The sequence below is a fragment of the Homo sapiens genome, chromosome 1 (genome assembly GCF_000001405.40).
Source record: "Homo sapiens chromosome 1, GRCh38.p14 Primary Assembly".
NCBI classification, from domain to species: domain Eukaryota; kingdom Metazoa; phylum Chordata; class Mammalia; order Primates; family Hominidae; genus Homo; species Homo sapiens.
In genome coordinates this window covers 186,363,194-186,377,570 of record NC_000001.11, presented here as the reverse complement: position 1 = coordinate 186,377,570, position 14,377 = coordinate 186,363,194, and the positions used below count along the sequence as shown (strand labels likewise).

The following is a 14,377-nucleotide window of genomic DNA, read 5'->3' as shown; positions in this document are numbered from 1 at the left end:
CTTCTGGTCTAATAATTCTTAATTCTTGCAACAAATACAAGTAATTCTAAAGTTATATTTAACCTTTTAACCTTATTTCTTCTAGGGTGTCACCTAGTAGCCATATTAATGTGTAAGAAACTGAATGTAATAGGGAGATGAAAATCTATTCAATTATGAAATCTGATTGAATGTCAGATAAATTTTTCTTTAGTGCTCTTTCAAAATTTTTAAATGTAGTCAACCATACTTTATAAAAGGCAGTACTAAAAATGTATATAGTCAGCTTTCCACATCTGTGGTTTCCACTTCCATGTATTCAACCAACCACAGATTGAAAAATTATTTTTTTAAAGCATGATTACATCTGTATCATTAAAGATGTTTTTTCTTGTCACTATTCCCTAAACAATATAATATAACAACTATAGCATTTACATTGTATTAGGTATTATAAGTAACTTAGAGATGATTTAAGATATGCAAATGCTACACCATTTAATATAAGGAACTGGAGCATCCATGGATTTCATATCCATGGGGTGGGCAGGTGAGAGGGTCCTGGAACCAATGCCCCACGGATACCAAGGGACAACTGTATTTTGCCTTATAGGGTCATAATTTTCCAGAAATGTTGTATATCAGCCAAAGCCTTTGTGGTCCAAGCACTGTGACTGACACAACTCAACCTTTCTGGGCTCTGGTTTCCTAATCTATAAAATAAAGCATTTGAATCCTAGCAGATCTGAAAACCTATCTAATTTTAGGATTCTGTGAATCTAAGTACAGAAAAATCTACATTTCCCAAATGACAGATCAACAGTATGATAATACTGTGGGCTTAGGACATAGCATAATACTTCATATACCAGCAACTTTAATTACAATGCTTATCTAAAAAATATTTTTGGGGAAAAATCAACCTTAAGCTCCGCTGTTGATTTATTTTTCCTTAGTTATTACAAAATATCATAAAATGCTTCCATTTATATTTCTTAGACGGCTTCACAACATGATTCAAAAGTAAGAACTAGAGAAAAAGAATAAATTTCATATAAGAACTAAATCACCAATTCACAGAAGGCCCACGACTGTGGGAACTGCAGAGAGACGACACTGGGAATGCATTATTTACAATGAATAATTTAACAAATTCTTTCATAAGAGTAAACACGAAACAATCTACGGATTGAGCTTTAAAACTACAGAATTATGATCTGGAACCATACAAGTTCTGTTACTGTAGAAATTAACAATGTGTTTAAAAACTTCAGTTACAACAGTTTTCAATTTTAAAAACAATATAATGTTAGGTAACCGTTTCTGCAACGAAAAATTTAAAACATAGGCTACACTCAAAGTGCTACCGGTTTCTTTTAATTCTCCTCCTGAAGAATTAACCCGGGTCCTTAAATTCCCGGGTACTGAATCACTCAGTGCCACCTCCCCACCACCAAAAACCATTTAGGTACGCCGTTTCACACAAGGTAAGTTCGTCAGAAGTGTGTGCCGGAGTGACTGTCCATATGGTTCCAACACTGTCCCTTCCTTTTTCTCTTGAAAAGAGAGCACACACACACACACACACACACACACACTACACTTAGGCTGACTTACCTGTTTTCAGAATGTGCACTCGTGGCAGACAATTACCTCGGACGGTCTCTCCGCCGGAGATGGGGGTTTCGGGCCCAAGTACCAGCCTCTAGGGGCCAGATTCCCTCCGGTCTCAATTCACTGCCACTGAATTCATCAGAAAGCGACCTACTTCCCACACCTCACTTCCCACTCCAAAGCCAGGGACTTGGGAGTCAGGTGGCGCAGATTGATGACGTAAAAGCCCCCCCTCCCTTCCCCGCAGAGCCTCAGCCAAAGCGACTGCGGTCGCCACCCCGCCCCCTTCTGGGCGCCATAGAGAGCGTGGCGGTATCCCGGAGCCTGCCGTCCGGCCCTACCGGGACCGATGCCCTCTAGTGGCTCAGTGTCCAGAAGCCGCCAACGAGGACGATCCATGGCATCCCGGGGCTTTGACGGTAAGGTCACCAGCTCTTCAGGGAGGGCCAAGGGGTGACGAGTACGTATGTGGCGCCACCGTGCGGACAGCGGTTACGGGGCCGAGATAGGAGAGCCAGGGGAGCGGGGAGAAAAACGGAAGCTGAGAGGGCGGTGCAGCATTGGGCTCCCGGAAAAGAATGAGAAAAACACTACATTTCCCAGAGCCCTACAAGGCCTGAAGTGGGTGGAGCTGGAAGCCGGAAAATTGGGTGCGCAAGAGGATCAGGGATAGCCTCTGAGCTCGGGTTCCCAGGGTTCGTAGCTTCCAACGGCTGCGCGCGCACTTCGGTCGCGGGCGGTGAGGTGCTGTTGCTGAAACGCTGCCGCTGAGGGTGGACTCGATTTCCCAGGGTCCCGCCGCGGGAGTCTCCGGCGGGCGGGCGCGCGCGAGCCACCGAGCGAGGTGATAGAGGCGGCGGCCCAGGCGTCTGGGTCCTGCTGGTCTTCGCCTTTCTTCTCCGCTTCTACCCCGTCGGCCGCTGCCACTGGGGTCCCTGGCCCCACCGACATGGCGGCGGTGTTGCAGCAAGTCCTGGAGCGCACGGAGCTGAACAAGCTGCCCAAGTCTGTCCAGAACAAACTTGAAAAGTTCCTTGCTGATCAGCAATCCGAGATCGATGGCCTGAAGGGGCGGCATGAGAAATTTAAGGTGGAGAGCGGTAAGTGAGATGCTCTTTCCGTCCTTGGTTTTGGGCTCGACTCCCGCCCTTTGGGTCTGGTCTTCCCCCATCAAGTTGGCACTGGGTACCGCTCTGTTAACCTCACTTCCTGGGCTCTGTGGATATCCTGAGCCTTCGCTTTCCTGCTCCTTACAGTTTGATAAGAAGCCTTTGAAAAAAAAATCTGAATCTAAGTTCAGTAGCATTTTCTTTGTAGTTAGGGTAGGCTCATACAGGGACGCTTATTTTCCTTCGTCCGGCAGACGGGAAACAGACTTGATAGAGTCTGCGAACCCATCTCTCTAAGCCTAGAGTACCTTATATGTTTTGTTGCACTTCAACTGATAGTGGCTCCGCCCTATTTTCTAGGCACCTGCATTCTAGGCCTTTGCCAAATTGACCACTCTGTGCACTTGTTCTTAGTGTGTGCGTCGTCCCGTGGCTCCAGAACGAATCAGATGTTTACAAAAATGAATATTAGGTGCATAAGAGCGCTGGAAACACAGTGAATGTGCAGTACATAAATTTAATATATCTTGATTTCTCTTAAAAAGTTGGAGTTTGATAGAAAACATTAAAATTTTCTTGTAATTACCTAAAGTAGGCCTTTAAGTAAGAAAGTTACTGACAATAATGGCTTGAACATCCTTGAAAAAAATATGAAGAATATAGTCATTACCATTAGTAAAATACAAACTTCCCGTTAATGTGTTTTGGTTTACCATTTGTTTGGGGAGGTTCATACTGTTCTTGCTAAGTTGACTGGAAATTCTGAACAAGTTTTTACTTCAAAAAAAGTGTAACTGTCAAGCAGAATTGACCTTGAAAATTAGTTCTCTGATCCCAGAGCTGAGTATAGTACATTGCATTCTATTTATTAATTTGCACCATAAATATTGAATGTCTTACATGTTCCTGATACTATGCTGAACATGATATTCAATCCCTTCCCTTGGAAAGTTTACACATTTACTTTTACATATATTTAGTAGTTTTATGCTTTCAGGTAATATCTTGACTACTATAAAAGAAGTCTTTTAAAACAAAGGAGTTTTTTTTTGTCTAAACAATTTTTTCTCGTGTAATAAATACTTTATTTATTAAGCAGTTTACTGATGTCTGGAGAAAATACTAAGATAAATGAGGTTACCTGCCTTGAAGACATTGATTTGTAAAGCCCCTTTTAGGCCTTATTTTTATTTTTTATTTTTTGTCATGTAAGTCGTTTGGAAATGCTTTAAGTCCTTTTCAGTGCTCAGTCTATTTATCTTTACTCAGATTCTCTTATGTGGAGCACAATTCTAATACTGTATCTTAAGTTTTAAAATCAAGGTTATTAGAAATAAATAACAGTATTCACAATGTATGTACATGTGTTTGATTTTGTTTTTTGTTTTTTGCTTGTCTGCTGTAGAACAACAGTATTTTGAAATAGAAAAGAGGTTGTCCCACAGTCAGGAGAGACTTGTGAATGAAACCCGAGAGTGTCAAAGCTTGCGGCTTGAGCTAGAGAAACTCAGTAAGTATTTAATTCATCTTTGTAAGTATTCTCGGAGTATCGAAATCTTCAGAGACTCCTTTATATACTTTGGAAACATTTGCTTACTAAACATGAAAATATTGATTAAGCATCATTGGTTTTTATTATGGTGATATTTTGATTTTTCACTTAGTGGTAAAGATTTTGTGAGAACACAGAATTTAATGGTCAGGAGGTCTGGATTCTTATTCTGATTTTGCTATTAAAATTGCTTTTGCCACATGTAAATCTTAACAGTATCTGATTATTGTTTATAAAATGGTTAGACCCACATGTCTGTCTACCTAGACAGCTTTGTAAATCAAATGAGATAAGAGTTCTTGAAATCTTTTTAAAAAGGTGAAAGCATTATGCAACTAAAGAAGTAGAGAGTGGCTTGTTTTTATGTTGAAGAATCGAAGCCTATTGATTTCATTATATTTATGTTTTAACTCCATTTTTTAATAATTTTTATAAATATCTATGAATCTCAGGATATTTCCCCTTTAAGGCCTAATTCCTATAAAAGATTGATAGCTAATCTCTTTCTTACTTTTCTTACATCATTAAGTTTTAGAAAGTTCACAAGATGTTAAAGATCCTGACATTTCTTAGGAGGATGATATGTCTTGTGCTTTGCTTTTCCCATCCAAGTTCTGACCAGGCCCCACCCTGCTTAGCTTCCGAGATCAGACGAGATGGGGTGCCTTCAGGGTGGTCTGGCTGTAGACTGCTTCTGCTTTAAGAAAGCAAACATCAGAACATTAGGAAAGATCTCTATAAAGGTGTAATTAATTTTTTTTTTCCTTTTTTTTTGGAGACAGAGTCTCACTGTGTTGCCCAGGCTGGAATGCAGTGGTGCAATCTTGGCTCTCTGCAACCTCTGCCTCTTGGGTTCAAGCGATTCTTGCGCCTCAGCCTCCTGAGTAGCTGGAATTACAGGCATGTACCACCAGGCCCAGCTAATTTTTGTATTTTTAGTAGATACAGTGGTTCGCCATGTTGGCCAGGCTGGTCTTGAACTCCTGGCCTCGAGCGATTCTCCCGCCTCGGCGTCCCAAAGTGCTGGGATTGCCACTGTGTCTGGCTGGTATAATTAATTGATACTTAATATAGTTCAATTTTAATTTGATTGATGGAGAAGGAACACAGGAAGTTCATAATCAAATGATTAAAATTGCAGCTTTCCTTCTTAATGGGTCCATGACCATCAACTATTTAGGTTATAACTTTTTTCAGCTACTTTTGGTACACCTCATTTTAAAAACGTAATGTATATGCATACATGTGTGATGGAGCATATATAGCTAGATCTGGTTCATTATCTATGTAGTTTTGCCTAGCCATAATAAAAAGATCTGTTTAGTAGTAGTGCCGAGGAATTTGAGAAAAATGACTGAATACAGCTTTTACGAGATCTGGGAGAAGAGAAAAAGGGATGAACCTACAGATACATCAGATACCTTCCTGTGGTATACAGTTAATGTGTGCGCGCGTGTGTGTGTATTTATATACTCTGGATCAGTAAGTCTGGAAAGCAGTAAATAATATTAAAACAAAATAGAAAATTTAGACACATTTAATGGGGATTTTTTTGCTTTAATGGTCCTCTTTAAATAGAAGTTAAGATTAGAATTAATTAAAATGTATTTGCTTATTAAATTGCCAACATATGTATTTTAGTGAAATACAGTTTCAAAATGTATATTTTTGGAAAAATTTTAAAAATTATATTTTTTCTAGTTAGCCTATGTTTAGAAGAGAAACTGCATGTAAGGGAAAAGAGCCCATTTTGAGTGGCAATTGAGAGATTGATAAGTGCGTTATCAAGCATAATGTTTTTTCTTTAAAGGCTCTATTTAGAGTGATAAATGATAGGAATTGCAAATATTCATTATTGTGATTTGCTGTATATACATGTTATATAGTTTAAATGCTTTTTCTCTCTTGATCCTGTCTTTTTAACTCCATTTTCTTACTGCTAAGTACAGTTCACTGTTTCTTATGATATATGTTGACTTAGAAGATGGCACTGAAAAATAAAGGAATTACTAATTGCATGTGACTTTCCCCATAAATGTTGGCTAGGATTATTATACATTTGATTTGGAGACAGGATAGCATATTTAAAATTTTGGTCTAGAACACAGTAAATTTTGAATGCATTCATGAATTTGGAATGTGATGTACAATGCAGTCTTTCTGGGCTTCTGTTTTTTCATTTATTAAAATATGTAAGGTTGGCAGTTGCATAAAAACACTCATTGCAAGTTTTAAGCAAATGTGTATGTATTCATAAAATTCCTTTTATCCAGACAATCAACTGAAGGCACTAACTGAGAAAAACAAAGAACTTGAAATTGCTCAGGATCGCAATATTGCCATTCAGGTAAGAGATATTTCTTAGAATAAGCTCATTGTAGACATTTTACTTGAAGGGACATTCTATTCTGATTGTTTATCAGTTATTAGTCAATGGGAAGATGTAACTGATGTCCTATTAGGGGAAGCTACCAACAAAAATATGTAAATATAAATTCCTTAATTGGATCTATGTTTTATTGATAGATTGGACATCTCTTTTATTCAACAGAAATTATCTATTGAATGCTGACTGTAGTCCAGGTATTATATCAAATGTGATACAGTTGGGAATTTGGGTGAATCCACATTGGTAGTCATTTCCTTAGGGTAGTTTTATAAGAATGACAGTTTGAATATGATCACAGGGATTGCTGACAAATTTGTTAATTAAAGTGGTTGCATGCAATTATTTTTTAACCAGATACAACTTTATACTTTTGCCATTGCTTTTTTAAAATTTGCATTTTATTTGGTGTTAAAAGATAATTTCTTCACATTTCTGAAGGGAAAAAAAAATTTACTTCCAGAATCTGAATAGGCGCAAAAAAGCCTCGTAGTATACCTAGAAAGGCTTTGTAAGAAATGTATTTATATGAAGAATGACTCAATACCCAAGAAAACTCAAATACTTCTCTGAAAACTGTGAGAATATACCTTTATAAATGAAGATATTGCAAATTTCTGGATGGAAATGTTTTCCAAATTAATGTGTTGGTAATACATTTTGACTCTTAAGTCCAAGTCAGATAGCCAGAAACTTGTTAATGTAGTTCTAAAGATGATTGGGGAAAAAAACATAGTAATAGCTAGGATGCTTCTAAAAAAAGGAAGTATCAATTTAAATTAAGTACTTGCATAGCCACATATTCAAGTTTTATAAAGCTATGGTTATTAAAATATTACAATGCTGATATAAAAATCAGTACAGAGAATAAAAGGCAGTCCAGAAATAAAACCCAATACGGAGGTTCTTAATCTTTTGGAAAGAAGCAGAGCTGTCACAAAATCTTTATAAATCTTGTAAAAACTATGGATCTGTAACCGAGGAAAATAGTGTGCACACAGTCACATAAAATTTTTCAGAAAAAAAAAACTATGAAGTGACTTAAAAAGTAATAGAATTTATTTAACTGCTTGGTGGCTGAAAGAAAGAAACTGAAAGCTTTTTCACTAAGATCCAATGCAAGGCTGGGATGCCCACTCACCACTTGTATTCAGTATAGTACTGGACGTACCAGCAAGAGCAATCAGACAAGAAAAGGAAATAAAATGCACCCAAATTGGAAAGGAAGAAATAAAATTATCTTTACTTATAGATTATATGATCCTATATGTAGAAAACCTGAAAGATTCCACAAAAACCTGTCAGAGCTAATAAGTGAATTTATACAATTGAAGGATACAAAATCAATATTAAAAAATCTAGTAGCATTTCTATACACAAACAATGACCTAGCTGAAAAAGAAATTAAGAAAAGATTTCATTAGAGTACCATCAAAAAACAACTTAGGAATAAATTTAACCTGGGAGGTGAAAGATTCATATACTGAAAATAATATAACATTGACGAAAGAAATTGAAGATGCAAATAATGGGAAAGATATACCATACTCATAGATAAGAAGAATTATATTGCTAAAATGTCCACACTATAAAGTGGTAAAAAGATTCAGGCCAATCCTGTCAGAATTCCAAAGGCATTCTTCGCAGAAATAGAAAAAAAAAATTCTGAAATTCTGATGGAATCAGTTTTAAAAATCCTGAATAATAACCAAAGCAGTACTGAGCAAGAAAAACAAAGTTGGAGGCATCATACTTCATGATTTAGAAAACTGTTATAAAACTATAGTAATCCAAATAGTACAGTACTGACATAAAAACAGAAAAGTGACCAATGGAATAGAATAGAGAGCCTAGAAATAAATCCAAACATATGGTCAACTAATTTCAACAAGGGTGCCAAGAAGACCCAATGGAGTTGTGATCGTCTCCTCATTAATGGTGTTGAGAAGACTGGATTTCCACATTTGAAGAAATGAATGTTGGATGTTTGTGTTGCTTACATCATATACCGAAATCAAGCCAAGATGGATGAAAGATCTAAATGTAAGACCTGAAGCCATAAAACTCAGAGAAGTGAACATAGGGGAAAGGTTCTTGACATTGGCCTTGGTAATGATTGTTTGGATCACATCAGTAGTTCAAGCTGCAAAAAGAAATAAACGGAACTACATCAAACTAAAAAGCTTCTACACAGGAAACAAGAATATTAAAAGGCAACCTACAGTTCTGACATAGGTAGCTTGAGATAGATATTTCTAACTCAAAAACATGTAGATTGCCATTGTTTTGCTGGGAAGCAGTTTGACAAGTTTTTTGTTTTTGAGACAGGGTCTCACTCTGTCACTCAGGCTAGAGTGCAGTGATGCAGTCTTGGCTCACTGCAACCTCTGCCTCCCGGGCTCAAATGATCATCCCACCTCAGCTTCCTGAGTAGGTGGGACCGCAGGCATGTGCCACCATGTCTGGCTGTTTTTTTCTACTTGTAGAGACTGGGTTTCGCTGTGTTGCCCAAGCTGGTCTTGAACTCCTAGACTCAAATGATCGGCCCAGCTTGATTTCCCAAAGTGCTGTGATTACAGGCATGAGCCACTGCACCTGGCTGACAAAATATATTAAAAGTTTTAAGTAATTCAATTTTTAGGAATCTTTCTTGAAAAATAATTTGAACTAAGGTGTAAATACAGTGATATTCTAAGTTATTAGGACATTTCCATGTGATTAAAAGAGATATGAGAAAAATTTTCATAAGCCTAGTAAAAATGTTTTAAAAATCCAAAATTTAAATAGAAACATTGGAATTACGGGTATTTTTTAACTTTGATGTGTAAGTTATAAGAGAAAGCCAGTCATTTACACTACAGCTGATGTTAACTAAAGTGACAATTCTATGTTCGCTTTCCTGTATTGCTCTACTTGATTTTCTTACTTATTACTTCTTTATATGACAGAGCCAATTTACAAGAACAAAGGAAGAATTAGAAGCTGAGAAAAGAGACTTAATTAGAACCAATGAGAGACTATCTCAAGAACTTGAATACTTAACAGGTATGAAGAAGTGCTTGTAGCTTTTAGCTCCATTCCTTTATTTTTCTTCTGTTAGTGCTAGGAGTTAGTGCTCAGCCCATTTCTGTTGCTGATATTTTTTTGTTATGGTTGAGTATAGAGTTGTCATATCCTATTATTTCTCCTACTCATTTATCTTTAAATCATTGTCAAGTGTTTAAAGAAGTGTCTAGAAAGTGCACAAGTGAAGAACATCTCAAAGAAGTAGTAATTTGGACCAGATTTTACATGCAAAGATTTTCACTACAATGCTGTACATAATGTCAAATTGGAAGCACTTTAAATATTTGCAAAGGCTGAACTACTGTTCTTTATTTCATATGGACATCCTTGCTATATAATAAGCATTCAATATAAGAACATATACTCAGCCTATATTTATAAACAGACTGAAGGAGGCAGAGACATAAAATACATAAACATAGACTGTAGTATATAATACAGCTGATGTAGTCAGGTGAACTTGACTCTGAAGCAGTTAATGGTAAGAAGTTTCCTTTGGTGCCCAGGCACGGTGGCTGACGCCTGTAATCCCAGCACTTTGGGAGGCTGAGGTGGGTGGATCATGAGGTCAGGAGTCCAAGAGCAGCCTGGCCAAGATGGTGAAACCCCGTCTCTACTAAAAATAACAGAAATTAGCCAGTCATGGTGGCACGCACCTGTAATCCCAGCTACTTTGTAGGCTGAGGCAGAGAATTGCTTAAACCCAGGAGCCGGAGGTTGTAGTGAGCCAAGATTGCGTCACTGCACTCCAGCCTGGGCGACAGAGCTAGACTCCGTATCAAAAAAAAAAAAAAAAAAAAAAAAGGTGTTTTGGGTTCTTTTTTTTTTAATGGTTTTTGAAATTTTTTTATTTCTATAAAAGAAAGGATTTTCAGATATTTATATCATTATACAATAATATTCCATTAGTTAAGTATACTTTCCCAGTCTCACAAGAGTTCCTTCAAAATACTTGAGTGTGTTGATCAACAAGTGGTAGTTACAACTAAACGAATTCATAAAATCTAGATATTTAATAGATAGTTTTTTAAAAATGTGTATTCCATATTGAGTAGGTTTTTATATTAGTGCTTTTTAGCTTAATGATTATTTATAAAATTTTAATAGGTCTTTGGATATATATCAGGAAAATTAAGGTTAACGTTGAATATTTAGCTTAACACACTGTATTTAAAATAAATTTGGATAATTCACAAGTTTGGATACACAAATTTCAATTTTTTGTCATATATTTGTAGAAATTGAATTTGTAATTAACTATGGCAGAAACAAGTTAAAATAAGAGAGTTGAGAACTACAGTTGACCCTTAAACAACACAGTGGTTAGGGTTGCTGATTCCCCCCACAGTTGAAAATTTATGTGTAACTTTTGACTCCCCAAAAACTTAACTACTGCTGTTAACTAGAAGCCCTACCAATAACATACACAGTAGATTGTCATACGTTTTGTCTGTGATCTGTATTATATACTGTGCTCCTTCAATAAAGTAAGCTAGAGAAAAAAATGTTAAGAAAATCATAAGGAAGAGAAAATACGTTTACTGTACATTAAATGGAAGTGGATCATCACAACCATCTTCATCCTCCTTGTCTTTACATTACCTAGGCTGAAGAAAAGGGGTTGGTCTTGCTGGGTCAGGTTGCAGAGGTAGAAGGGGAGGCAGAAGAGGGAGGCACACTCAATGTAACTTTACGAAATACAGCCTAATTTCTGTCTGACTTGCTTTTTCATTTCTCTAAAAATGTTTCTATACATTACCAATCTTCCTTCCACCGTTTGCTATAGTTTCAGTGCCCATGTAAGAGAAGGATCCATGTCATAAAAGAAATCAAAAGCAGTCTTGGGTAATCAGAACCCTTCCACCAGATAGTCTGTTACCAATATGTTTTCTGACACTGCTAGTTCTACATTCTTTTTCCACATCGTCTGGCACTGGTTTGGAAGCACTCATCTCCATCCAGTCATCTTCTGTTAATTTATCTGATATGGTGGCTATTAGCTCTTGGATTTCTCCAAGGTCCGTATCTTGAAACCCTTCATCCCACTTTTTTTGCCATATCCACAATCTCTTTCATGATTTCTTTGATTGGCTCTGTTACAAATTTTGTGACATCATGCACAACATCTGGAGAGTTTCCTCCAACAGGAATTTATTATTTCAGCCTTGATGGCTTTCATAACTTTTTCTGTAATGAAAAAGAAGGGATGGCCTCTTCAGTGTGTTATCCTTTAAAACTTTCATGATATTTTCTCTGTTGGGGTTCTCTTCCACAGTGTTGACATTTTCTTTTCACAAAGTATCATCTCTATTGAGCCGTAAAGGTCCTTATGACTCCTGATCTAAAGGCTGAATTAGAAACATGTTTGGGAGCAAGTAGACTGCTTTGACACCTTCCATGTTGAACTCCTGGGTTCTGGGTGGCCAGGGACAGTGTCTAAAGTCAAAAGAACTTTAAAGGCAGCCCCTTGGCCAGGTACGGTGGCTCATGCCTATAATCCCAGCACTTTGGGAGGCCGAGGCAGGTAGATCACCTGAGGTCAGGAGTTCGAGACTAGCCTGGTCAACATGGCAGAACCCCATCTCTACTAAAAATACAAAAATTAGCTGGGCGTGGTGGTAGGCGCCTGTAATCCCAGCTACTCAGGAGGCTGAGTCATGAGAATCACATGAACCAGGGAGGCAGAGGTTGCAGTGAGCCAAGATAATGCCACTACACTCCAGCTAGGGGGATAGAGCGAGACTGTCTCCAAAAAAAAAAAAGGGCAGCCCCTTTACTAGCAAGGTACTTTCTGACTTTAGGGACAAAGCATGAGTGGAACCAATTCAGAGAAGGGGGTCTGTCATTGTCCAGGTCTTCTTCTTGTGTAACCAGAAGACAGGCAGCTGGTGTTTATCTTTTTCCTTTGGGCCCTGGGGTTAAAAGCTTTATAAATAAGGGCAGTCCTTATCATAAACCTGACTGCATTTGCTCAGTACGGTAGAGTTAGCCTATCCCTTCCTGCCCTAATCCTGGTGCTCCCTTCTCTTTCTTACTAATAAATATCTTTTGTGGCATTGTTTTTTCCAGAATAGTACACTTCTATCTGCATTAAAAACCTGGTGCAGGCATATAACCTTTCTCAATGATTTTCTTAGCAGCATCTGCTGTTTCTTGGTTGACAGAACCTGCTTCTTCAGTTTTGTTGACATTTTTATAAGTCAAACCTTTCTAAAATTATCAAACCATCCTTTACTGGCATTAAATTCTCCAGCTTTAGATCTGTCACCTTCCTTTTGCTTTTAGTTGTCATATAATAACTTTGCTTTACCTCGTATCATATTAGAGTCTATAGGTATGTGATAGCAATCCTGCACCCCATAAAAGCTGCATTTTCAATGCGAGATAGGAAGGTATTTTGCAGAAATGCACTTTTTTATGCTTGCTGGCGTAGCTGCAGTGATGGCTTTACGAATTTTCTTTTTATTTCTTTTTTTTTTTTTAAACAACGGTCCATATACTGGATTCATTTGTCTTGAAATGGTGGGTAACCATCGCTGCAGTCCTCAATCTGTGGTACATATCAAGCAATTCAACTCTTTAAAATATTGTCGTGATATTTCCCTGCTTCTTAGAAGAAGTACTTCCAACATCACTAGTGGCAGTTCTTATGGATCCCATGTTGTTATTCAAGGTTTATGGTATTGTACTAAACACAATGACAAATATGCAAAAACTTCAAAAGATTTCAAGTTTTATGGTATTGCACTAAACACAATGACAAATATGCAAAAACTTCAAAAGATTACTATTTTCTGCATTATGCAATTTACTGAAGAGAGAAACTGCTCACAATAGAGTCACACAGCATTCTATACAGACACTCAAAACACTTGAGCTTACTGCAGTAGTATCAGGAGGTGGCTATGAAAGTATTCCAGTAATACAGTATGTATTACAGTTAATTTTATGCAGTTATGGTTTAATAAAGCATATTTATATTTGCTTATATTTCTCTTGATTGCAGATAGGGTTGTGTAGTGTTTGTGTGCATAAGTTTTGATAAATTTTTTAAGTTTGTATCATGGATTTGTGCATATTTTAATGGTAGTAAATGATAAAATACACTAATATCTACATATTAGTACATATTATGCACTTACAGTAGCTTTTTCTTAGTTTGTTCCCATTTCTGGGCTGCCTGGATTGGTCTGTGGTCTCTGAGTTTTTCAAATTGTAAGTTTTTGGGAAAAAATTCCAATATATTTATTGAAGAAAATATGAGTGGAAGTGAATCTGCATGGTTCCAATCTGTGTTATTCAAGGGCCAGCTGTGCATACTTTGTATTAAAGGTTTATATTCCTAGAAATATATTTTTGATATTTGGTTCCCCTGAGTGTTAATTAGTTATTATTTTTTAATTCTCTTCACCATTCTAGAGGATGTTAAACGTCTGAATGAAAAACTTAAAGAAAGCAATACAACAAAGGGTGAACTTCAGTTAAAATTGGATGAACTTCAAGCTTCTGATGTTTCTGTTAAGGCAAGTACCAGATGATTCCTAATGCATAAACTATAGCTTTTTATTAAAACTCACCTAAATTAAATTTCAAATATAGGCAATAAAGTAATTAAAAGCTGCATTTTGTTTTGTTTTTAATGTCAGAAAATTAAGCATTAGGACAATTCTA

At 37.0% G+C, this 14,377-nt stretch overlaps 2 protein-coding genes across 11 annotated transcripts in view, besides 4 other annotated features; one reads left to right on the top strand and one right to left on the bottom strand.

Moving 5' to 3' along the window:
* Positions 1-1,733, bottom strand: part of ODR4 (odr-4 GPCR localization factor homolog) — a 59,194-nt gene extending 57,461 nt beyond the window's left edge. For all 10 annotated transcript variants that reach the window (XR_007061319.1, XR_007061320.1, XM_047423438.1 and 7 more), the window contains exon 1: positions 1,597-1,733. The gene's annotated coding sequence lies outside the window, so the exon portion shown is untranslated. The remainder of the gene's footprint in view (positions 1-1,596) is intronic.
* Positions 1,704-1,893: an enhancer, noted in NCBI's record as "active region_2248". NCBI's record gives its function as "activates an Ori minimal core promoter by ATAC-STARR-seq in GM12878 lymphoblastoid cells {active_cell/tissue: GM12878}" and the evidence as "EXISTENCE:reporter gene assay evidence [ECO:0000049][PMID:35858748]".
* Positions 2,064-2,113: an enhancer, noted in NCBI's record as "active region_2247". NCBI's record gives its function as "activates an Ori minimal core promoter by ATAC-STARR-seq in GM12878 lymphoblastoid cells {active_cell/tissue: GM12878}" and the evidence as "EXISTENCE:reporter gene assay evidence [ECO:0000049][PMID:35858748]".
* Positions 2,274-2,573: an enhancer, noted in NCBI's record as "active region_2246". NCBI's record gives its function as "activates an Ori minimal core promoter by ATAC-STARR-seq in GM12878 lymphoblastoid cells {active_cell/tissue: GM12878}" and the evidence as "EXISTENCE:reporter gene assay evidence [ECO:0000049][PMID:35858748]".
* TPR (translocated promoter region, nuclear basket protein) overlaps positions 2,318-14,377 on the top strand; it is a 63,602-nt gene continuing 51,542 nt past the window's right edge. Inside the window, exons 1-5 of the mRNA NM_003292.3 lie at positions 2,318-2,693; positions 4,108-4,212; positions 6,528-6,601; positions 9,589-9,685; positions 14,126-14,229. Coding sequence (NP_003283.2) covers positions 2,543-2,693; positions 4,108-4,212; positions 6,528-6,601; positions 9,589-9,685; positions 14,126-14,229 — 531 coding nt within the window. The 5' untranslated portion in view covers positions 2,318-2,542. The remainder of the gene's footprint in view (positions 2,694-4,107; positions 4,213-6,527; positions 6,602-9,588; positions 9,686-14,125; positions 14,230-14,377) is intronic.
* Positions 3,134-3,183: a silencer, noted in NCBI's record as "silent region_1648". NCBI's record gives its function as "represses an Ori minimal core promoter by ATAC-STARR-seq in GM12878 lymphoblastoid cells {active_cell/tissue: GM12878}" and the evidence as "EXISTENCE:reporter gene assay evidence [ECO:0000049][PMID:35858748]".